This window comes from Homo sapiens, chromosome 1, assembly GCF_000001405.40.
Source record: "Homo sapiens chromosome 1, GRCh38.p14 Primary Assembly".
In the NCBI taxonomy this organism is placed as follows: domain Eukaryota; kingdom Metazoa; phylum Chordata; class Mammalia; order Primates; family Hominidae; genus Homo; species Homo sapiens.
In genome coordinates, this window is record NC_000001.11 from 175,701,395 (window position 1) to 175,727,225 (window position 25,831).

Sequence of the window (25,831 nt, forward strand, 5' to 3'; positions counted from 1 at the left end):
AACAAACAAACAAACAAAAAACACCTTCCAAAGGCAGGGCCATTGACAGGAAAGTCTTAGTCCAACAAGTCCTTGGCTCCTCAACCCCAGCTGACTGGCGTGGTCCACACTGGATGCACCCCTACAACAAGAGGGGCTTTTGGAGACTAGGGATGAGGTTAGAGTTGAGAAAATAATAAAGTGGAATGTGGCTTCTACAGGGGAGGGAGAGTGTCTCAAATTTACCCACTAATGAGTGGCTGAGCCAGAACTCACATATAGTGACACTCAATTCACCATTCTTTCAATTGTATTAACAATGCTGTTGATTAAGAAGAAATTCCAGCATTGGGTGAGAGCAGGGTTTTCAGCCACTCCAGAGAGTTGGAGGAGGAGCAGCACCAGGGAGCTGGTTAGAAATGCAGCCTCTGGGCCCCAGCCAGACCTACTGAGTCACAATGTGCATTTGAACAGGATCCCCAGGTAATTTGCATGCACATTAAAATATAAGAAGAACCAATTAGAGAACTTAAGCCGCATCTCCTTTCTCCAGGTTAGAGGCTCCAGAACACAGATATTTGGCAGTCGATTTATAGTGGAGTGCAAGGAGCTCTCTGTAACACAATAGATGCTGAATCAATTTTATTTACTGACAGATTGATTAAACAGTCTTGCCCCTTAATTATTTTTGTCTTCTATAAAGGGCAAGTCAAATTACTTATTTTCCAGGGTTTTTTTCCGAAGTAAGATACTCTAAGGGTGACTCTGAGACACATTCTGTGGTTATTGTATCTTCCATGTGTGCTAAATGACCACACACTGGGACCCCGCTCTGCAATTTAGGAGCCTGCACTTGGTGAGGAGCAGCAAGCAAATGTGAGTAAATCACAGAGGCAGCTTCTCAGCTCTGCCCCACCCACTGAGACGCCTGCTCAGTGCCCCAAGCTATTCTTAGACTGACATGCCACCTCTGGGTTGTCACCCAGCCAGGATTCTTTGTGCTCCAAAGAAAGAGAGTCCCAGAAACATTGATTTTTGGATCCATGAGCACCTTCCAGCTTCCAGACCCACAGACAGGAAGAAAGGCATCCTTGGCAGGTGCCAGGTACCCTGGACCCAGCCTCTTGCTGGATGAGGGGCAGGAAAACGAATATGAGGGGTTGGCAATGTCTGGTTATCCCATGCTGAAATGGGGTAAAGGGTCAGAACACACTGGAAATAGTTCTACCTCTAGGCACAGCAGGTGTGTGTGTGTATACAGAGCAGTTACCAAAAAGAGCTTCAAGGAAGAAAACATTTCCATCCGAATGGCAGTGTCTGCACTACAGTGACACGAGATTTGGGGTTAGATGTGGGTGCACCTGCCCAATACACATAGAAAAACATCTGGAGCCATTAAATGTTCCACATTTGGGGAATGTTCTGGATCAATACCAAATGAGGATGTAGATATCTTTCTGCTCAGGGTAAAAATGTGCTTGAAACACGTAAAATCCTTTGGATCTGCCTCCATTTAAAAAGCACAGTTATTCCTAAAGTTTTCAGTTTGCTACCACAGACAGTTTCCTGCTCAAATATAGTAATCCAAAATATCCATCTATAATTCTTAGCATCTGCTCTATACAGAACACCATATTTCGACATTCCATGAAAATTTTTTAAATAAAAGAAGGAAGGAAAGAAGTAAAAAAAAAAAATGGAAGGGAGGGAAGACAAAAATAAGTATTCTCTGAGAGTAGTTTTTTCTCTGATAGGCTAATAATATATAAATGTTAAAAATATTTACATTGGCAGATTCTTATGCTGGTTAATTGATAGTCTACATATTTTCAGTAGAAGGCTGTTGGCAAAAGCAGGTGAAAACAATTAGTAATGCAATCATTATAGATCAATTTACTGTAAAGGTTAATAGCTCTTTGTTTCTAATAAGATCTCTACTAACCCTTCTGTGAACTGTGATGTTCCTTTGCACTCTTTGCAAACTTTAATAGTTTTTCCTATACCTAGCACAGTTCTTGGTTCAGAGGCATCATTCAATTAAAAGAAGTATTCAATGAATGAGCAAATCAATGTTTATGTTTCTATGAAAACTGCCTAAATATATACCAGAATATTTGAATTTTATATATCCTGCATTTTACAGCTAGGGTAGGGCCTAGACTCAGTTAACACTTGGCTGTACTGATGACTTTAATTAAGATGTAAGTAATGATCATTTACCAAAGAAATCAGAACAGAAGCATTTCTTAAACTACTAATCAATAAACCACCCAATAGACAAATGAGCAAAAGATATGAAAAGGTAAATCACAAAAAAAGAAAGTATAGATGACCAATAAACATATGAAAAGATGTTCCCCAAACAAGCAATCACAAAGTGCAAATTAAAACACCCAGAAGACACACCATGTTTAAACCATCAGATGGGCAGCAGTCAGATAAAATGGCACAGCGTATAGGGGTATGGGCTCTGAAGTCAGGCGGAGTCTAAATCCTGGCTACCACTTGCCAATGTAGGCCCCAAGACAAGATTTTTAACTTCACTAAGCCTGCAGAGGGTTAATAATATTAATTGGTATTGTATTGTGTATGGTAGTCAAAGAGGACTTTATTTCTTTGTGTTATCTTATTTTTTACAATGCATTCCTCTATTGTTTATATAATTAAAATGTAGTGAAGGGGAATAGAGAGTTAATGTTTAATGGATACAGCATTTCAGTTTGGGATGATGGAAAAGTTCTGGAAATGGATAGTGGTGATAGTTGCTGCACAACCATGTAGATGTCCTAATAAGTACACTAAACTGTACGCTTAAAAATGATTAAAATGTTAAATTTTATGTTACGTGGATTTTACCATAATAAACGAGTTGTGACTTAATAGAAAATCCTTTGTACCATAACATGTGACAAGAGGAAGACTTTAGTCAAAGGTTTAGTCTGTGCCACAGAGTACAAAACTTGACGAGATTTAAGTTGAGTCTTTAAAGACATGCAGAATTTGGATCTGGAAAGCTTGGTGGACAGAGCTTGGAGAAAGAGGCATTGGGGAATGGGGCATCTGCCTAGAGAAGGATAGTCTGGAAAAAAGAAGGGAAACAAAATTAGGTAGATATTCTGTGTGAAGTCAAGCAGTACCCCATTGCTGGAAGTCGGCCCTGATCTGCCAGGAGAGAAGGTAATTCCCCCACCTCCTCCTTCCCCCTTTCTCCAGTCAACAGCCCTCCAGAGATGCTTTCCCCAATGGGGAGGAGCAGGGGAGGTGATGCAGAAGGAGAAGAAAGGGTCATAAAAAGTAGAATCTCCTAATGGCTTGTATTTTTGCTGCAGCAGCTCCTCCTTCAAAGAGCTGCCATGCACCTGGAGGGAGCTTGATTTCCTTCTGAGAATATGCCTTTCAAGTAGATTAAAAACTATTTTCATGAGTTGCGGCTGTTTACATGCAAACCTGTCATTCAGATGATGTGTGCCTTCACAGACGCCCACAGAGGCTTATCAACGGCTCCCTTCTTTTTCGGGATAATTTCCTTTAAGTTCCTATGCAGTGTGTCTGGGCAGGGGAGGGAAGTGAGGGGACGGGGGATGTTTTGTTTCCTCAGCAAGGTGAAAACAGAGATGCAAAGAAGATAATGGAGGTGGGGCCAGAGCAAGAGTCCAGAGTCTCCTTCAGCTGGGCTAAGGGCAGGAAGGTCTCAAACGTGAGCGCCTGGTGTGAGCTCTCCTTGACACAGGCAAGTCTCACCCTTGCCTGCAGATATGACAACTTCCCATAGCACCTGGTTCCTGCCTCCCATTCTTCAGTATTGAGGCCATGGTCTCAGAGATAGAAAGACTTTTTCTAGAAAAGAGCAGGCTGACTTCAGGAAATTGAAGGAGGTATAATAAAGCCTTGAACTCAGCCACTGTAAACCCCAAATTCTAGAATAAATTTTAAAATGTATGCTGAATTGAATTTTAGTTTTTTTCTTTTGTCAAAAATTAAAAAGGAAGAAAGACATTAAAAAGCCACTGTGATCTAGAAGCCACATTGTTTTCTAAGGCTTATGAAATTAAATGTAAGTGTTCTCTACATTGAAGATTGATCTAAATTCTAGAAAGATAAAGATATGGTTTATGAGCCTTTGGAAAGAAAAAGTTGGTGCATTCAAAGCAGCATAAGACAAAAATAGATGCCAAACCAATGGTGTGTATGTGTGATGTGTGTACCTATGTATGTGTGTATGTGTGTGTGTGCGTGCGTGTGTGTGTATTTGGCTGAAGTAGTTATACTGGTCTTAGGTAAATGCCATATTATAAAATGTCCATACCAGATGCCATGGATCCCATGTGTCTTGATTTCAGCAAGACTTTTAAAATAATGTCTCCTGAACAAAATGGAAAAGCATGGTCAGGATATTAACAAATATAAGCCGACAACAACATTGCCCCAAGATTATAACTTTTATAAATCTAGGTTTCTTCATGTATATAACAAAAAAGTTGAATTAGATATCCACTAAGTTCTTTTCCACTTCTTCAGCCTGTGATTGTATTACTTCAAGGAAGTTCTCAAAAGATATTTCCCAAGATTTTTCAAGGCCCAGTCCTGACTTGTGTAAAAATGTAGGAGATGTGCTTACACAGCCAGAGAAGACAACAAGGGGAAGTCCACTTATGGCCTAGGGGATAGAGTCAGCATTCAAAGTTACCCACTCTACCCCCGCCAACCCCCCACCAAAATCAATAACACCATAGTTTGACATCAATGAGATAAAATGTAACAGAATAAAGTTTTGATTTAAAAAACTCATTCCATAAAGTCCACGTATCAGAGATCTATCTTGATAGTGGTTCGGATAAAGAAGTCACAGGGATTTAATTAACTTTAAATTAAGCACCAAATATCAGAATGCTATGTGTCAAGCCTGGGTGCAAAGGAGGACTTGGTACAGGCTAGGCTGTATTAATAAAACTTAGGGTCCAAATCAAACAGCATCATTACCCCCACTCCATATTCTACCCTGAATTTGGAGTATTGGGCACCACCCATTGAGAAGGACATTAACAAGCCAGAAAGTATCCAGAGAAGAGGAAAAGATGACAGGAAGGCATCTTAAAGGTGTGTGGTAAGGACCAAGGTCTCATCTGGCCACGTCCACCCACTGGTCTCCTTGCTGTCACCCTTTCCACCCAGCTGAGCTCTTTCCCAGCATCTGTTCAGCATGGATGCCAGTTCTTGCTTGAAAAAACAGGATAGAAACATACCATCTCCCGAGGGAACCACCTTCTGATGGGCCTATTGCAGATTTCTTCCTTACCCTGAATGGAAATCTCATTCCCTATGACCCTTCCATTCACTGGCCCAGATTCTAACACTCTGGGCCCGTGCAGGTAAAATCTAATTCCCCTTCTACATAAACAGCCCTTCAAATAAGCCAAGAGGAGAGATAGTCACCACCTCCTTACCCCCAAAAAAACCCTTCCAAGTAAAACTGGTCTGTTTTGAAAGGTGAATCCGCAAGAAGTTGTAGCTTTCTGTCCTCCATGTGTCCTGGAGGTCCTGGAGATAAGGCCTGACTGGGATTCTTACCCCCTTGCACAGGTCAGAAGCAACCATGAGTGGTGAGAAGCTTACGGTGATATGACCTCATTGGTATTGCATCTGGCCTGTCATCCAGGGCCTACAGTCTTAGAAATTGGAGTGATGACTCCTAAATGTGACTTTTCTGATACATTAGGGTATTTCTAGTTTACACAAAATTCTCAAAACACTATTTTATCTCACATTAATTTCAAAAATAGACATATGCCCTAGAGCACTTTAAAAGCACTATCAAAATTCCAGGTCTCAATTCCAAACAAGCAGAAATCATTGGCTCATTTTGCCATTTTTCTAGTCTAAAATACCTTAATAATCTTACATTTTCTTAATATACTCTGAATGTTATGTGGATTCCTATTCTATATCTGACAGCCATTTATATATTTTTAAATTCTGCTGCTGGTATTACTACAAACTTCCATTTTTCTGATATTTATTTGAGTGCCTGTTTTGTGCATGATACCTTGAAATACATGACAAACAAAAACAAAATCAAAAATCCATAGTAAATTTGTTCAGACCGTGGTATGAAATGAAATCCCAAATTTATAAAGAAACACTGAGCTACAAACTGTCCAAAAGGTAGTTTGGCTGATCTGCCTTTAGAGGGTACAGAATTGGAACTCATCCTCCACCAACCCCATTTTTTCACAGGCCTAAAAAAGACCAGGAAGTGCTGCTGGGGTGTCCTCACTGATATTTTATAGCCTCTTTTTAAAACCCAACTTGTTCAAAGTAAATAAAATGTTGCTTGTGTAAGTAATTAATCAGAAATTATTCGGAAGGTTTATTATGAGGCCAATAGTAGGCAATCTCCTGAGGCACTCAGCAAACTCTCTCTCTCAGTAAATAATTATTTAAGTTAAAATTATTTACTAAATTAAGTCGTTCCTTTTGTGATATCTCTGAGACTTCAAGTAATTGCCTAGGTTTGCTTTAGTTTGGTGTTTTATAAAGAAAAAACAGGGCTACATAATGAATTAACTGTGCAATTAACTATAAATTTAGCACTTCAGAAACACATTTTAATGACTAGGAACAGGTACAAAGAGCCATGTGTGTGTTTGTGTGTGTGTGTGTGTGTGTGTGTGTGTGTGTGTGTGTGTATTTAAACCTAGGTGTAATTTTCCATCTTAATGCAGCAAGGCTGGGAAAATGTTAGCACAGCATAACTTATTACTTGCCATTTACAGAGAGTCAGTAACATAGAAAGCCCAATTTAGGCAGAGCCATAGCCACAGGCCTCTGCCCTGGGCTCATGGTGAGAACTGCTTTGGCCTTGAGGCAGGGCCACCTCCTTCCTTTCTCTGTTGAGCTCCCACCAAAAGGACAGGCTCTCCAGGAGAAGCCTTCCCTGAACCCTCCTGGGGTTTGGAGAATAATGATCTGATGCCTAGAGCTTCCTCCCTTTCTCCAAACCAAGACTCTTCCTTGTTATAATTATGAAGAGAGAAATGATGAAAAGTAGGGTCTGGGTTAATGAAAGCCTGAATTCATCTCATCAAACGTCTGTACCATGCAAGAGTATATCCTCGCACTTTATGATTTTCCACACACTTTTGGGTTTATAGTTTTGTAACGGGAAGGAAGCATCCACCATGTGCCAAGCACTTGGCTTCCTTCCACAATGCATGGAAGGATCGTGGAAATAAAAGGATGTGCCTCTGTGCGTGGAGACAGACATCTACCTCCTGACCAGTCGTCAAGACTGGCCACTGCGATGCTGACAGACAAATGAACCATGGACTTGGTGGTGAGATGATACAGGGAACACACTTCGGGCCTTAAGAAGGAAATCTTACAGCCACCAACCAACCATTTCAGACAAATGGAGTCTGAGTCCATTTTGGAAGAACTTTACAGGAGGAAATTCTACTTGCATTTTCAATTGTTCAAGTTACTTACAGCTAATCAATCTGTGATATCGTCAAGCACTATGAGCCAGCTCTGGAGGGGAAAAGGAGCTTACAGTCTCATAGAGACATGAGATATAAACAAATATCTCATTATGCACACAAGCACCCCCACGTGGCGAGCATGTTATATCATGTAATCCTCACGACAGCTCCATGATATTGGTGTGGTGAGTGTCGCCTCACTGGGGGAAGATGAAGGCCTTTCCATGAGATGACCTCTGCCTACACAGATGGATCTTTGCTGTTGCCTTCTATTTGTTCAGTGCTCCCCAATGAAGGTGATATACAGGGCCTCCTCCACTTCTCCATCTCTTGCTTCCTGTGGAGGGATGCCAAAAGGACTCACAATGTGTGGAATGTGACGATATGCCTTGTGTGTAGCTTCTTTGTAATACAGCCAAAATTGGGCTTCCTCCCTTGCTTTCACACACACACACATACACACACACACACACACACACACACACACACACGCACTTCCAACAAGGAGAAATCAGGAATTTATTCAAAATGCTGTCTAGGGCACATTCTCTACCTTTGCTTCAAACATAAGACCAAAGTTCAAATGAGCTCCCCAAATCCCCCATTTATTAATTAGGTTTCTGTAGTTAGTTGCTTTGGTACAATTGCTAAAGGCAGGGAAGTAAAACACATGTGTTGTAAAAAGAAATCATTTTGCCAACAAGAGTTAAAACAGAAAAGTTTGGATCTTCACCCTATGCAGACACATTAGTTAGCCAGAATGCTCATTCCCCTAACAGGCCAAACAATTAAGGCCTCACATGCTCAGTGACATCTCTTTTTGCTCCTAGACATCGTGTTGTGGTACACAAACTTGCTTTCTGTTCCCATGCCAACTCCAAAGCCTTTTGCTCAGCCCTTCTTGGCCTCTTCGCAGCATTTGATCCTACTGAGCACCCTACTGCTTCATTCAACAACATCCCTAGTACCTCCCATATGCCAGGCACTCTGCTTGGTGTTCAGACATGATCTCCATCCTCAAAGAGCTCAAGGACTATCAGGTGAGGCCAACATTGCTGAAACTCACTCTAATGCAAAGTGAGGATGAGACAGATGTGGGTCAAGATTACAGTGGCAAGGCTTCGAAGCCACGTTAGGGATTTGGTAGATTATTCTAAGAACAATGAGATACTATTGATGGGTTTTCATAGGAAAAAGTATGATTCGACTTGCATTATTCGAGGGTCACTTAGGTTATGTTAAAATAAGTAAATAAAACACCATTAGAGTGAATGGATTGGAGCATGACAAGAGGAGCCCCTGGAAGATCACTCAGGGAGCTACTGACATTGTCTAGGAAAGAGAGGATGGCTGCCAGGCCTAGAGTGATGGCAAAGGAGAGAGAAAGTCATGGAGGACATGGGGAGTGCGTAGACATGGGAAGGGAGGGACCTGAGATGGTTTCCTAGCTCCTGGCTGGACAGTGAAGCCTTCCCTGAGCTGTGGGCATGGAGCAGGCTGTAAAGGGTGGGGATGTTGATTTCTGTCCTGCTTATGTTGGGCATGAGGTCCCTGTGAGGTCTCCCAGGGGAGCTTCTAAAAAGCGTCTATAGCTCAGTGACCTGCACTGGAGTGACATATTTGGGAGTTCTGGCCCTACGGTTGATAGCTGAAGCCATGGGAATGGCTGAGATCACCTTGGGAGAGAGTGCAGAGTGCCAAGTGAAGAGGCCCTCAGTACAGAGCCCTCCAGACAGCCCTCTTAAGTCCCACCAGTTACCCAGCCCTATCAACAATTATTCCCTTAGCAGTTTCCTCAATCTGTCCCCCTTTCCTTCCCACTTCCACTCTCCAAGCTTAGGCCCTAACCACTTTTTTAAAATGACTGCAACAGTCTGGTCTCAGGAGTCTCACTCACTCCCTTCTATTTACCTTTCTCATCATTGCCAAACTAATTTTCCTAATGCTTGGCTCCTGTCATGTTGTTTTTCTCCTTCAAAACCTTCACAGTCTTCTCATTTCCTGCACAATAAAGCATAATTAGTTCACCCGGATGCAGAGCCTTCCATACGATGGGCTAGCTGACACAGGCGTGCCTTTGCTGCTGTCCTCTACCTGTTCTGTGCTCCCCATCAAAGGTGATATACGGCACCTCCTCCACTTCTACACCTCTTACCTGCTAAGGAGGAATGCTGAAAGGACTCATGATGTGTGAAATAAGAGGATGTGCCTCTGTATGGGGAGACAAACATCTACCTTCTGACATTGGTTTCTCCCTAGTCTTTAAAACAGGCAATACACACAAGAAATAAGTAGACTATATACTATGCCAGAGGGTGATTAGTGCTGTGTAGAAAGACAGAGCCAAGTAGGAGACTGGGAGTGCTGGGGGTGTGATTTGCTGTAAGTTCACCAGGGCAGGCTTCACCATGAAGGTGCCATTTGAGCAAGACTTGGGGAGATGAGGGCTGAAGCATCTCACCCTGGGGGAAAGAGTGTTTCTGGCAGAGGGACACCAAGTGCAAAGCCCTAGGCAGGAGCATGCCTGCCACATTCAAGGAACAGGAAGGAGGCCAGTGTGGCAGGAGTGGAGTGAGAGAGGGTGCAGGCAATGGGAGATGATAAGAGGCGTAATAGCAGGAAGGAGTCAGATGGAGCAGCACCCGGATTGCCCCAGTGGAAGATTCGGGGCAGGGGAGTGATTTAACTTCTGCCATAAAAGCAGCCCTCTGGCTGCTGCAGGAGAATAAGCCACAAAGGGTGAGGGCAGGAGCGAGGGACTGGGGAGAAGGCTAGTGCAGTAGCCCAGGCAGAGGACTGTGGCCGGGCCCAGGACAACAGAAGCACTGAGAGAGGTGGTGGGAGGGGCTGAATTCTGAATAGATCTCACAGACGTGGAAACAGGACTTAAAGATGGAACGAATGGGGATCCATGAGAGAGTGAGAGCAGTCGAGGTTTTTGGTATGAGCTCCTGGGAGGAAGGGATTGTTATCTGAGTTGGGAAATTGTCATTTGAGTTGTGGGCAGGGCATGTTTGGGGGATAGAATATAAGTTCAGTTTTGAACTTGCTAAATGTGTGATGTACATTAGACATTCAGGTGAAAATGCTGTGTGGCCAGTTATGTACATGAATCTGCAGTTCAGGAGAAAGATCGGTGCTGCAGATAGAAATTTGGGTTCAGATGATAAAGACTTTCCTCTATAATAACAATAATAAAAACTACTCTCCCCTCTTCTCATCACTGCCATCATCTCTACCCCACTATTGATAACTGCTATGTGCCAGGCACTGTGCTAATTATTTTACTCATATTACCTCATTTGCTTCTCATAACAACCCCATGAAGCAGCTACCAGAATTCTCATTTTCACAGATGAGGCATCTTAGGCTTTGAGAACTTGCGTATCTTGCCCAAGCTCACACAGCTGGAAAGAACTTCATGCTCATGCAGTGAAGAGCCATTAAAAAAATTGAGAATAACACCATCAAATGTTCACTTTAGATGAATTGCTCTGAGGATAGCATAGCAGCTAGAATAGGATGGTTTGAGACCAGTGAGGAGACCACTGCAATAACTCAAGAGTCCAAGCAAGAGGTGACATAAGACGAACTCAGGCTGTGGCTGCAGGAATGGGAAGGAAGGAATAGGATCCAGGAGTTACTAGGTAGCAGGACAAGGCTTGGGGGCTGATAGGGTTTGGATATTTGATCCTGCCCAAATCTCATATTGAATTATAATCCCCAATGCTGGTGGTGGGGCCTGGTGGGAGGTGTTTGAATCATGAGAGCAGATCCCTCATGAATGGTTTAGGCCATTCCCTTGGTGATAGGTGAGTTCTCAGTCTGAGTTCACATGAGATCACCCACCCTCTCTCTCTTGCTTCTGCTCTGCCATGTAAAGTGCTTGCTCCCCCTTTGCCTTCCACCATGATTGTGAGCTTCCTGAGGCCTCCCGAGAAACTGAGCAGATGCCAGCACCATACTTCCTGTACAGTCTGCAGACCTGTAAGCCAATTAAATCTCTTTTCTTTATAAATTACCCAATCTCAGCAAGGCAAGAATGAAAGAATGGCTAGTACAGGGACCTATTGCAGTGGGGGCATAAAGAAAAAGTCCATGATGTCTATAGGCTCCTGGCTGGGGGAACTGATTGAAGGGTGGTACCCTTTGGTTGAGATGGGGAGCACAGGAGAAGAGTCAGGACCTGAGTCCATAAGGAGCCTCGCAGGCCAGTGCAAACGGGACACCCAAGGAAGCAGGAGCGATAATGCTGGACGATAGGCTGGGATCAACCAAGGTAAGTCTTTCCTATGAGGCTTAGGAGGTTAACTTTGCTCTGCAGACAAAGATGCCATTAAGACTTGAGGCAGATAAATGTGGTTACACGTAAGAATCAAGTCTTGTAATTCTTTAAGTCCTGTGAGGACAGGACCTGGGTTTCCTGTGTGACATGTACTGCACAACCGTCTATGCACAGCAGCTACTTAATACCATAAACAACACTCTTGCCCCTATCCTTTTTTTCCCCATTTATCGGGCATACTTGCAGAAGATTTTTTTTTCAGATGCAAGAACATTGTGGGTTGAATAAGCTGACTAAATCCATTCACTATTTCTATAGAACATTTTTAAAGTCTAACTTATAACAAGTAACAGCCTCCTGACTCCTCCACAACTCGCTACTCCCCACCACCCCTATTGTCTGTCCTGACTGGGATAATGGGTAATTGTGTTTCAACATGAATTATGCTAAAACGCTTCTCATTGCCTGGCTTCAATCATCACCAAAACCCAGGTCCTAATCTAACTTCATTGTCATTAAGCCACCAAACCAGCTGCTGCAGTGAAAACAGGCAGGCAAAGGAAAAAGTCTTAGGAGAAGAGTGACATTTCTCTGAGAAACAAAAGAACCATCTCTGATCAAGTGACCTGCATGAGAGAAGGAGGAGAGAGCTCCCAGCGCTGACTAAACTGAAATTGCCAGTTAGGCCCTCTTCTCATTAGTTTTTCTTTCACACTTCACATTAGCTCAGTGAAAGGAAGATGAATTAAGAGTTAAATGCACCAAAATAACTTAAGCAATCTTTAAATAAGGCGTAAATGTGCTTTATGTTTCTACCTACACCCTCTTCCTGTCTCACTCTCCTCTCTCCCTCATGCTGGCCCTGCTCCTTCCTTTGTGCCTTCTCTTTGTCTCTTTTCTCCCTTGTTGATTCTGTTCTCTCTCTATGTGCTGTTCTGTCCTCTGCTTGTATGGTTTCTTCACTCCAATAGCTGCCCTCTCTTTAAAACTCCTGCACCCTTTAGCTCTGGCCCACCTGGGTGCCCTCCTTGGCATCTTTCTCTTCCCACTCCCTCTGCTGTCCTCAGATCTCCTTCTACCCATCACGCCCCTCTTCCACACCCATGCTTTCTGCCTTCCCATATCTGGCCTCAGATGGCACCAGAAGCCAAATTTCTAGTGACGGAAAGCCCATTGTTGCCTGATGAAGGCAGATGATATAAATGAGGCAATTGCTTCAATACATAATTAAAATAAGCCAAATGAAGCAGCAGCAAAACAAGACAGATTCATGGTTTGGAGATCTAAGGATGAACCCTTTGCAGAAGACAGTCCTCCCTCCCTCACCCCAGCTGGCACTGCGCCCCAGAAGCGTATTGACTGGCCAATCAATTCTCAAATTCTAGATAGATGGGCTGGTGATAAACAATGACCACTCAGCCCCTTTCTCAGCCCTGCCAGGCCCAGCTAATGCACACTGAACCATCCCCCGTTTTGAAAGACCTTCCTGGGATTGTTTATCTCTCTACCCTCTCCACTTTTGTTTCCAGCTACAGGGAACTCCTAAGTGGAAAATCGATAGGCGCTTTAATTACTGGCCCCCAATTCATCAGGGCCTCAACTGTAATTACTCTGCCTGAGCCAGGAGCCAATAAGCAGAGACCGCCAGGCACTGGACAATGTGCAAGACAATCAGCCCAGAGTCTGTGGCTCAGCCTGCGGGGAGCCTTGTGAGGCTGCCTGCTCACCTTCCCGCTATGGCTTTCCTGTCCCCTTTCCCTGGTCAGCAGCAGGGGAGAGGCAGTCCCCAAAGAGATCCCAGGGCAGAACTGGTAGGGGGCATGGGATGGACACAAAGCCAACCCTTCTACTCTCTCCCAGGCTCTTGACTCAGTCAACTGCCTCTAAAACCATGCTTCTCAAAGTGTGGTCCCAGGACCAGCAGCTTCAGCATCCTGTGGAAAACAGACACATAAAAGCTCAAGCCCCAGCACAGATGCACTGAAACAGGTTCTGCATTTAACAATATCCCCACATTGAAGGATGAGAAGCACAGTTTGAAAATACATCCTGGGGTTTGTTTGCTTTGCTAGGGCTGGAAGGGAGTAGTGACTGTGCTCTCAGTACCCATTCCATGGCCTGTCAATACTTATGTCACCTAGAAGGGTTTCTTTAGAGTCTTTTTATTTAGGGTATGAAGGGCCCATAAATGCTAAAATGTTATTTTCCACTCCATGGCATCTTCATTCTTTTCCCTCCACTTCTGAGCTTGCCCCAAAGGCAGGGAGGTAAACTGAGGACCTGAGGGTTGATTGTCCACACTAGATTCTTCCCTTCTCTTTCATCCATGATGAAGCCTGACCAGCTATGTGCACAGATGCAGAATCCTGTTCCTGGGCCCCAGGACCCCTAAAGCTGATGTGTTTCTGATTCCTGCCCTCCTCAGCTCTTGGGACTCTTGAAGGCTGAGTATCAGGGAAACCCACAGGGCTCCTCTCAGGAGCTAAGTTGGTACCATGGGATGATGCTGGGATGTCATAAGAGATGCTCTCATGGGGTCCCCTTTAAAGAGTGGGGGCTGATTACATTGTTTTCCCCAGGAGAATAGGAATTCATCTTTGGGATGGCTCAGAATAAATGACTTATTTGTGATGGGTGAGTTCATAACCTGTGTGTGTCTGGGGCTTATTCCTCCTTCCTGCTACTGAAGGCCAAGAGTGGTGGCAAAATGAGCTCAGATTCTCTGTCAGAACACTGAGCAGGCTGTGTTTCTGGCGAGGGAGAGCTGGGATGCAACTGCCCTACTTCCTGCACACACATCAGTGAAGCTTCGTGTCTGAGCACGGAGCTATTGACTCAGCTGATCAATTTCCGAGTAGCAGGCAGCCAGGCCCATGAAAAATGACTCTGTTGCCCATTGCCCATCCCCCGCAGACACTGGCCTTGGCTAATGCAAATGGAACAATTCTCCATTTAGGAATTGCTTCTAAGCTCCTCTTTGTCCTTCTGCTTCCTAGACCTAGGCTTTCCCACCTGAGCCCTCTGGTCTTCTCTTTCTCTTTTGTGTCTCAAAGCTCATGCACTGCCTCAGCCTCAACTACCACTTTTAGGAAGATGAGTCCTCAAGATTCTCCATTTTCCATTCTTAACCTAAATTTAAACCCACTTGACTTGCTGGGCATTCCTGTCTGATGGCCTAATAATCATTGCCTTTAAACTCAAGACATCTCAAATCCAAACCTTACTCCTCCCACATCTGTCTCCCCTTCCCCCTGGTTGTTGTTTTCTCATTCCTGTGAAGGGCACCCAGGCTTGCATTCTAGTTGTCATGGCTTGTAAGTTCCTGTGTATGCTCAGTCCTGGAGGTACTGCCTTTCAAAGAGCTCTTGCCCAACCCTCTCTTTCTGTTCCCATTTTCACCTCCTTTATTCAGATCCTGTTGATGTTGTACCTGTGTGATTGTGATGGCCCCATTGTGGAACCAACCATCCCCTGCCCCAAGTCCTTCAACAATGCTAGTGAATCTCAATCCAAGCTGCAAATAGAATCATTCAGGGAGTTTTATAAAACACCAATGAGACCAATGATTAGGATGAATTAACCAGAAAAGCTGGACATGAGGCCCAGGAGTTGGTCATTTTAAAGCCTGCTCAGGTGACTCTAATACGTAGCCAGGTGAAGACCACTGCTCTAGCCAATCTAGACCATTTGCTACATGCAACCAACTTCTGTCCACATCGTCCTTTGTCATTTTGCTGTCACCCTTCCTTCTGCCTAGGATGACTTCCACTTCTCCCTCCATAGATGAAAATGCTCCCTATCCTTCCAAGCTGAGCCCAATTTACCCACTCTGTGACCTTTCCATTACAGAGCCCTCCTCAGAACTACCATAGCACTTACTTATACATTAGCCATAGTGTATGCCCTGCCCTTCCTCGTACTATGCTCTGTGGTCTTGCCATATCCTCTTTATCTAAATGCCACCTCCTTGAAAGACTAAAACATTTCTTAGAGCATTTATCTTGGAGCCAGAAGAGCTAAATTTGTGTTCTGACACCTCATAAATAAAACTTTGGCTGTGAGACTTTGGATATGTTTTTTAAAATCTCGGTTTCCTGTTCTGCAAAATGGGAAGCATGATTCTTATCTGTTTTATAAAAGTTCTAGTAGAGTAGGGAGGGAGGTAGAGGGACAAGGGTTGAAAAACTAACTATTGGGTACTATGCTCAGTACCTGGGTGATGAGATTAATCATACCCCAAACCTCAGCATCACGCAATATACCCAGGTGACAAAACTGCACTGTACCCCACGAATCTAAAATAGAAGTTGAAATCACTTTTAAAGTGTTCATCATTAGTAGTCTAACAGCGATTTTTGCCCTTCATGTTGTTTAACAGTGGCTTGGACAAATTAAGTGCTTAATAAGTGGGTGTTGAATAAAGGCGTGAATATATCTATATTTTTATCTTAGACTTTTTTTCTCCTCCTGAAAATAATTTCAAATTAGAAAGTCAATGCACTAAGGTGTGGGACCTGAGGTCATGGGCCCAGTGCTTCCTACAGTGGAGTCAGGCACAGAGACATCTGCTTTCCTAACTACCCTAGTCAAAGGCCCTTGCTGTGACATTTAAACCACGTCCCTTTGTCCCTTTTGTCAGGTATCAAAACCAAAAGCACAGATGTCACAGTTTCTGTGTCTGCATGCAGGGTGTCCTCATGGGTGAGCGCACATGCACACACACACACACAGCTAATAAATTGTTCTGCCCTTCATAGATACCTGCATAATCGAGAAAGCCAGCTTCCCCCAGCAAGTGCTCTCAGAACCAGCACTCCAGGGACAAGGACTGAGCCTGGAGATTGTGGTCTGCAGCTCTTAGTAACACATGGCAGAGGTTTCTGTTCACGTAAGTACCAAAGATGCCTACTGTCAGTTGTTAGTAGCTGGTCCCTTTTGGCGCAGCCATCGAATGAGTTAATAAAATGTATTTTTCAAGAGAGGGGCATGAGTGTGGGGGAATTCTGGAGCAGTGAAAGCTGAATTTCGAGGAGACTGAGATCATGGGTGAAACAAAATATCATGTAGAGCCAAGGGCATCTGCCAAGCAACTCCCCAGAACTCTGCCCCAGTCCTTCCCCAGCACCCCCTGTCCTGGCCTTCTCTGACCTGCATTCCCCAGCCTTCACTCTCATTTAAATGCTCATTTATGTTTCTGGATGAATAATCCCAGAAACAACTAGATTAGAAGAGTCCTTTATCCTGACTCGCAGCACTCGCACTAATTAGAAAGCATTATCCTATTCATCCCCTGAAACCCCAGAGAGGAGCTGGAGACCTGGGTAGGGGAAGGAGGTGGCCAAGGTCACAGGTAGGCAAATGCAAGGAGCAGGAAAGTGAGGGGCAGGACCCACGGTGTTTGTCAGGCCTAGGCAGTTTAGTAGGGTGGGTCCACCTGGGCTTGTGGCAAAGCCACAGAGACTTTTATCTCCCCTCGATGGGTCTGGTAATATTCTCATTCCATCCTAAATAGACAAATAAACTGAGACCGCATAACCCTGAGGGGTCAGACAAACCAAGAACGTCGTTAGGTGTTAGAAGGGCTTGGGAGATCTGTCACATGGCCATATCATGTAAACAGAAGCCCGGGGGATTATATGACTTGTCTAACGTAACACAGGTCATTTATGGCCAAGGCAAGCCTAGAATGCAAGTTTTCCGACTCCATCCAGTGCTTCTCCAGCATGCAGACATACACTTAGACTCTGTTGGTGCTGGGCAAGAGAACTATCCCTGACAAACAGCTTGTCTGAGTTCTACCAGCAAGGACGTTCACTTTCCCCTCCCCGCAATCCCACAATCTGCCAATTTCAGACAAGAAGGTCCCTTGAAGCTGCAGTTGGTTTGTCCCCAGTGGCCATCCAGGCCTATCTGTGGCCTTCATTTGCTTATCTTCTCTCTCCCTGGTATTTCTTTCTCTTTCTCCTCCTCCAGTCTCAAGTCCCTCCTTGTCTCTGGCTCCCTCCCTACAGAAGCATGGGTGAGAAAAGGCCCAAAAAGTGAGGATATGGAGTACCCCAAGCCTCAGAAGAGGTGGCAGCTGTCCCCGGGCTGTGGCCCACCTCTTGGGCTGCACACAGGGGTGTCGGGATATTGGGGCATGATCTAAGAAGCTCAGGCTACTGTGGCTTAGCAGAGAGGTCCTCACCCCTCCCCCATCCACACACTGCAGCACCCCCATTGAAAAGTGTGCACAGTGGCAGAGGCCACAGCCCTGAGGCAGCCTGTGCAGCCATCAGAGTCTTGACTGCAGAGTTTTGAGCCGAGGTTCCCAGCTGCCATCACCAGCTGTGAGGATGTAGGCAGGTACTTCATCTCCCTCAGTTTTCCAATGAAAATGAGGTAACCAGTATGAGGATGCAGTAAGTTAGCACACATAAAGCACTTAGAATTGTCCTGGGATGCAGTAAGCATTCAAAAACACGTTCATTTGTTTTGCTGTTATTCTTGCCTAGCCCCTGGCTGCCCAAGTAGAATGGTCACAGTCTTGCAGGAAAGATAGCCAAGCCCAAGTGTCCCTGATTAGAGAGGCTGTGACTAGGACACAATGATAGCAGAGACCCCGCTGGGAGATACAGCAAGTTCTCCTTTATTTCCCTACCTGCTGTCCCTTCCCTACCCCACTTCTAATACCCTCCCCATTCTTCAAACCAGCTCTCAGACCAGGATCAGATTCCACTTATTTGGCCTGTGTGGGACCCTGTTGGAGCCAAGTATGTTTCTTCCTAAATCTTCTCATTTCCACAACAGTTCCTGTAGTGGCAGGCGTGCCTGCCAGGCAGGGCACTGCCTGCTGCCTTCCCGGGACAGCCCTGCTGAGCAACACGTTTCTGCCCAAAGAGGGAGATCTGGACTGTTTCCAGCACTGTCTCACTCACTCATATCTTCACTTACTGTTATAGACTGGATGTGTCCCCAAAACTCACATGTTAGAGCCCTAAACCCCAGTGTGACAATTTGGAGATAGGGTCCTTATGGAAGTAATTAAGGTTAAATGAGGTCATAAGGGTAGGGCTCTGATCAGATAGGATCAGCATCCTTATAAGAAGCAGGAGAGACCAGAGCTCACTTGCTCTCTTGTGCTCTCTCTCTCTCTCTTTCTGTCATGTGAGGATACACTGACAAGTTGATCATCTGCAAGCCAGAAAATGAGCCCTCACCAGGAATCTCATTAGCCAGAATCTTAATCTTGAACATCTAGTCTCTAGTACTGTGGAAAATGAATTCCTGTTGTTTAAACCTCCTAGGCTATGGTGTTTCATTATGGCAGCCTTAGCTGACTAACATATCCACAATTCATTTGGTCCTTTAACTTCCATGGGGACACCTGCCCCAAGACGGGAACTGTGCTTGGGCTCAGAGCTTAATAAGGAGTTTACACGTAAGTAAAGGAAGTAGATGTTTCAATAGGTTGATAGCTTTATGAACTATTTTAAAAGGCATAATGAGATAAGCAGTCAAATAGAGGTATTCTGCAATGGGAGCAGGAAGTAATAGATTTTAATGTGCAACAAGGCTTCCAGAGGCAACAGAGTTTGAGCATGTCTGCCTTTTAGGACAGAAGTTTCCTGCCCAGTGGAGGAAGGAGGATTACGCCTCAATCCAGAGGAAGCAGATATTCCTGTTTTGCTCTCATTCAAGGTTTTAGAAAACTATATAGCTTTTATGCTGGTTTAAATAACCACACTAGCGCTCTAAGGATCTTTCTTCAAGATCCAGCTCAAGTCCCACCTTTTCCATGAAGACTTTCTGAGATTTTACGCCACACTGAGAAGGGCTTAGCAATCATCTTGCCCAACCCTCTCATTTTTCAGATGGAGGAAGCAGAGCTACAGTGAGGGCATGGGACCCTTGTCTTATGCATATTCATCTTCATTGCTTAGCTGCATTCTGAGCTTTCTGCTTTCTGTTTTCTTCAGATGAGCACAAGACTGGCTTCTGCTCATCATTCAGGGCTCAGCTTAAATGCCACCTCCTCAGGCAGGTGCTTCCTAACTGCCCTCACTAAAGCAGCCCCACCTCTACTTCCCACATACCCTGTGAGTCTCTAACAAATCACCCTATTTCATTGTTTCCATAGCTCTTTGGGGTATTTAAAATAATCTTACTTGATTATTTGTTTACATGTTTATTATCTATTTCTTTGAGTTAGAGTGTAAGCTCTTTGAGAGATGACCTTTTTCTGCATGCCCAGCCTGGCGCATAGTAAGTGCTCAACAAATATGTGTGGGCATGCCGAGTTGTGCTATGCTCTTAGTGGGGCAGTAAACGTGTACTGGCTGTGTTCACCCCACCCAGGTTTTTAAACCAGACTGATCTGTCGCCATTCCACCCAGCTGCCTCCTAACTGACTCTCTTGAAACCCGTTAGCTGTAATCCTGCTCCTGACAATGCCGTGGGCTTCTCTTCATTCTGCACTGCCTTACTCAGCTCCTGAAACCTGCCTTCACCTTTTTCTCTTACTCACCATGGGCTCCCTCTCACTTCTGCACACCCCTAAGTCTGTCTTCAGTGTTGAGGAACAAGCCTTGTCTTTTCTCCCTAGCTCCCCAACCCTGTTCACACACTCAAATCAACTGGAGTGAAGAGCAAGTTCTTCCCAGAGGGCGACACCTGCTCTCATCCTGCGCATCCACTCTCCCCCAATTCTCAGATCCACCAGCGCCCTCCCCCCACCCCACTGACCAGCCTGCCTCCCCGGTCGGATGTGCTTCCCCTCTCTTGCAATCACAGGACAGCTGTGAGCCTGGCATCAGAATTTATTTTTAAACCCAATCATGAGCTGCTGGACTGCTACCCCAGCTGTGACTGGCTTTCAGATGTAGGGACACTCCCTCAGTTTACCCATCCCAGGATTGCAAGACCACCCTCACTCCCTCCAGGTGTTCTCAGTTCCCCTGTCCAAGTCACTGGTGGGCTTTCCTCCCTCCATCACTCTGGCCTGGTCCCCTTGGGCGGCAGCTCCCATTGCCACCCTCCGGGCCCTCCCTGGCCATGGAGGGTTTCATTTCCTTGATGTTCCTTTCCTGGTCATTCCCCTCCTCCTCCTTCCCCTATCGGTTTGAATTGTGAATAATTCATGTGTTTCCATGATCCTGCCACGGGTTTTCTGCCTCATGAATCAAATCCCTGAGACACAGTTTATTTCTTCACCATCCTCTAGTCCAAGTTGCTGACAGGGAAAGGGTTTATTCCTGTAGGTCATGAATGGACGCCAATACTTATGCCTGCTTATGGTGACAGTAACCATTTTTCCCACCCTATTCTTCTACCATGCTCTATTTTTCCTGTCTTTTTAATTTTTTTTAAGACAAGACCTCACTCTGTTGCCCAGACTAGAGTGCAGTGGCACCATCTCAGCTCAATGCAACCTCTGCCTCCTAGGTTCAAGCAATCCTCCCATCTCAGCCTCCCAGGTAGCTGAGATTACAGGTGCACACCACCATGCCCAGCTAATCTTTGCGTTTTTTATAGAGACAGGGTTTCACCACGTTGCTCACACTGGTCTTGAACTCCTGAGCTCAAGCAATTTGCCTGCCTCAGCCTTCCAAAGTGCTGGGGGATTACAGGCATGAGCCACTGTGCCTGGCCTATTTTTGTTATATATATATATAGTTGCTTCCCCCCTGCCCCCGAGACAGAGTCTTACTCTGTCGCCCAGGCTGGAGTGCAGTGGCACAATCTCAGCTCACTGCAACTTCTGCCTCCTGGGTTCAAACAATTCTCCTGCCTCTGCCTCCCAAGTAGCTGGGATTACAGGCACATACCACCATGATGGGTTAATTTTTGTATTTTTAATTGAGACGGGGTTTCACCATGTTGGCCAGGCTGGTCTGAAGCTCCTGACCTCATGATCTGCCCACCTCGGCCTCCCAAAGTGCTGGGACTACAGGCATGAGTCACTGTGCCCAGCCTCTAATATATTTTAATAGGTGTGCATTTGTATAATATTACATGATTGGATAGATAAACAAAGAGATACATAGAAAGATGCACAATAGACAGACTTAATTATTTTCCCACATAGCTTTCTTCATCACCTTTCTTATTTAAGGTTTTTGGGAGGAACATGACAGAGGCATCTAAACATATTCCTCATACACAGTGGATGCCCTAATGCCCAATTTGCAGCCCTCTTCTAAAAAGGGGTCCTCAGAAGGACTTTCATAGGAGCTCAGCCCTTATCTGCAGTCTACCTGGGTGTCATCTCCACTCAGTCTCCAAATATGTATGGAGGATTCACTACACTCCAGGGACTGGGCAGGACTCTGGAAAGACAAAGGTGAGCAAAAGAGACTCTATCCTTGCTCTTTTGGAGCTTACAGTCTACTGGGAAACATGGATATTAACTAAGTAGTCTTATATATATGGTTAGAATATATACGTATGTATTTCTAAACTGATAAATTTATTTTGCTAGACATAGTGGCTCATGCCTGTAATCTCAACAATTTGGGAGGCCGAAGCGAGTGGACCACTTGAGGCCAGGGATTCGAGGCCAGCCTGGCCAACATGGTGAAACCCCGTCTCTACTAAAAATAATTTTTTAAAAATTAGCTGAGCGTGGTGGCTCACGCCTGTAATCCCAACTATTCAAGAGGCTGAGAATCACTTGAACCCAGGAGGCTGAGGTTTCAGTGAGCCAAGATCACACCACTGTACTCCAGCCTAGGCAACAGAGTGAGATTCTGTCTCAATAAATAAATAAATAAATTTATTTTTTCTTGGCTCCTAACAGGAAAAACTCACAAATTTATATATAAAGTATATGTTTATACAGAATATAATATTTTTATTTTTAATATTTTGAGCAAATTTGAGAAAATTGATATTGGATATATAAACTGTATATATTTCTATGTTTATAAATTCTAAACCCTCCAAAAGTGAGGAGATTATTACCATTAAGTCAGGAAAGCAGTTATTGCCAGTGGAGATGAGGGTTTGCGATCAGGATTGTATTAGTTTCTTCTCACATTACTATAAAGAAACACCTGAGACTGGGTAATTTATAAAGAAAAGAGGTTTAATTGGCTCACAGTTCTGCAGGCTGTACAGGAAGCATGATGCTGGCATCTGCTTGTCTTCTGGGGAGGTCTCAGGAAAATTACAATCATGGCGGATGGCAAAGGGGAGCCAGTACTTTACATGGCCACAGCAAGAGGAAGAGAGCGAGAAGGGACAGGTGCTACATACTTCTAAACAATCAGATCTAGTGAGAACTCACTCACTATAATGATGACAGTACCAAGGGGGATGGTGCTAAAACATTCATGATAAATCTATTCCCATGATCCAATCACCTCCCACTAGGCCCCACCTACAACACTGGGGATTACAATTCGACATGAGATTTGGTGGGTACACAGATCCGAACCATATCAGGGGTGTTCTTCTTGGTGTCTTAGTAATGATCTATTCCTTGACCTGAAGGGTGGTTATGGGGAATTTGATTTATTGTTATTGATTAAATTTAATGTTTATGTTTTATGTACACTTTTATGCATGTTTTACATTTCACAATTTAAAACTTTCAAATGATAAAGAGAAACTTAGAAGGTTCTATGAGAACATGTAACCATGGCACCTGGCTTGGTCTGGGGAGCCAGGGATGGCTTCCTGAAGGAAGGGGCATCTCAGCTGAGATCTTAGATAAAAATGAGTTTGGCAGAGGGAGGAAGATGTGGCGAAATGGCCTGGAGGGGAGAGGAAGAAGGAAAAAGGGGAAGAACATAGAGCAGACCCTAGGGAGTGTGGGGAACTCAGAAAACAGCTCAAGTGTGGCTTGAGCCCAGGGTGTGAGAGGGGGCAAAGCTAGAGAGAGAAACAGGGACTGGATCATATAGAGCCTCGTTAAGAACTTTTGCCTGTGTCCTAAGATCAATGGGAAGTGCTTGAAGGTTTTAAGCAGGGGAGTGACATGATCAGATGTACATATTGCTGAGACCATCAATGGAAGTGTAGAGAACAGATTGGAAAAAAGCAACAGGCCCCTTTCCACCATGTGAGGATGCAATGAGGAGGTGCCATCTATACAGAAGGCAAGCTCTCACCCAAACATGAATCTGCTGGTGCTTTGATCTTGAACTTCCCAATCTCTAGAACTAGAATATCCAACATGTGCTTTCCAGCCATATAAGTGAACCTTCCCATAGCACTGTGGAATTATCACAAACTTTAGTTTCCTCAGTCTTAAGCAATATGACAGTCATCACCATGAAAACCACAGCATTGTCAAAAATGGCAACATCAGGGGTCTCAACAGATACGACTTCCACCACTTTAAATTCTATAACTAAAATGACAAATGTTCACAAAACACATCCCAGATGTCAACATCCACGATGACCAAAGCTCTCAATAGTTCAGTGACATCTGTTTCTTCATCAATAACAGTCATGGCAACTATTTATTTTAAAGAAAATAAAGGATCACAATTTGGGGAAAAAAATAACAGGCAAGAGAAGATGTGGGGAAAATAGGTACTTGTTTTAATAGTAGAAGAGAAAGACGAAGACAGTTTAAGGTGCTAGCAGGTTAGAAATGGAGAGGAATGTCCTGATGTAAGAGATATTAAGGAGGTAAAGTCAACAGAACTTGGCGATGGATGTGTTACATGTCTCCCCTCAATGAATGTTTCAGGAGCTCAGAGGCCTTCGTCACTGCTGGATATTCAGCACCTAGGACAGTTCCTGAAGCCTGGTTGCCTCTTACTTGAGGGCTCTACAATGTGTTCTTGTTTCTGTACTTCAGAATATGTCATGGAAATGAAAGTGGAATGATGGGAGGAAGCATTAGAGGTGCCAAGTACATAAAAACTGCAATGAGAAAAAAGAACTTAGAGTGTTTAGGAGCCACCCTGAGGTTTCCAGCACGTCTTTCATAGAATGGACAAATAAATGGGGCAGAAAATTGATTACTTAAATGATAGTAAATATGATAACAGAAAAACATATAAAGTTATTAGTGCTATTGGGTATGCTAAAGTACCAGTCCTCAAGAACATCTCAAAGATTACACAGATAAGTAATAAAAGGCCATACCAACACCCATCAACTAATCATCTGTTACTCAGATGATACAGGCATCTACCCTATGTTACATTCAGCAGTGCTATAGAAGACCAGGAAATGATGAGCAGCAATATATTTGGTGGGATCTTTGGAGATGTAGGAGGAAGTCCAGGTTGCTGCTGATTAATAAGTTTTAAGTTAAAAAGTGTGATTGTATAGATTTTCTGCAGTTTAGGCCTGAACCTTAATATGAAAGTAAAGTTGCATCTCAGATATCCCTCCTCAAACTCCTAAGGTACCTGTAGTCAAATAAGAGTCTGAGGGTGTTGTTCAGTGAGTTTTCACTAGGAACAAAACTACCCTCCTTGTCTGTGGTCAGAGAAAGTACCTCTGCAAAGCAGAATATACTCTGTGACTAAGAAAACATCTTTTTCATTGGTTGTAGGTCAGCAAATGCCTAGGCAAGATCTGCATTTGAGGTTTAGACTTTTAAAGACCAAATCCAGGCCAATAATATAAAATATAAAAGAAAAATTGAAAGACAAAATGTGATCACAAATTATTGCAAAGACTGAGTACTTTTAAAATATTATTTTTTCAAAAAATTTATTTGATAGCATGTTATGAAATCCTTCAAAGTAATGGCTGTTTTTCAGTGAAGTAAATATGATATACAAATAGCTCTTGATTATAGGTAAATCAACAAAGAGGTGGAAGTGGGCAGGGCTGGGGAAATCAGCTTGAATGAGCCCCAATGTGGCATGTAAGGAGTGACAGCCAAGCAGAAACAAGGGCTTGAAGAAGCCATGGCTCAACACTGGACTGAAATGAAGACCCTTTCTCCCTGCCTACTCCTTGATGACTCCAGAGAAAGAGGCCAGGCTCTCACAAGGGGGCTGCCTAAGCAATGACAAGGGAACTCTCCTGACTCTACGACCTTGCTGGTTGACCTTGTTGTCTACTTAACAGTGCATATGGAGTCAAAAAAATTGTGAATCTTTTTAGAAGGTACACATTGCCTAAAACTTTGGATCTAT

General features: G+C 44.1%; 1 protein-coding gene across 2 annotated transcripts in view, besides 1 other annotated feature; it reads right to left on the reverse strand.

Annotated features, from left to right (window-relative positions):
• Positions 1-25,831, reverse strand: part of TNR (tenascin R) — a 428,402-nt gene that overhangs the window by 386,201 nt on the left and 16,370 nt on the right. The window lies entirely within an intron of this gene.
• Positions 24,356-24,556: a silencer, noted in NCBI's record as "peak472 fragment used in MPRA reporter construct". NCBI's record gives its function as "represses an SCP1 promoter by STARR-seq MPRAs in K562 erythroleukemia cells {active_cell/tissue: K562}" and the evidence as "EXISTENCE:reporter gene assay evidence [ECO:0000049][PMID:32103011]".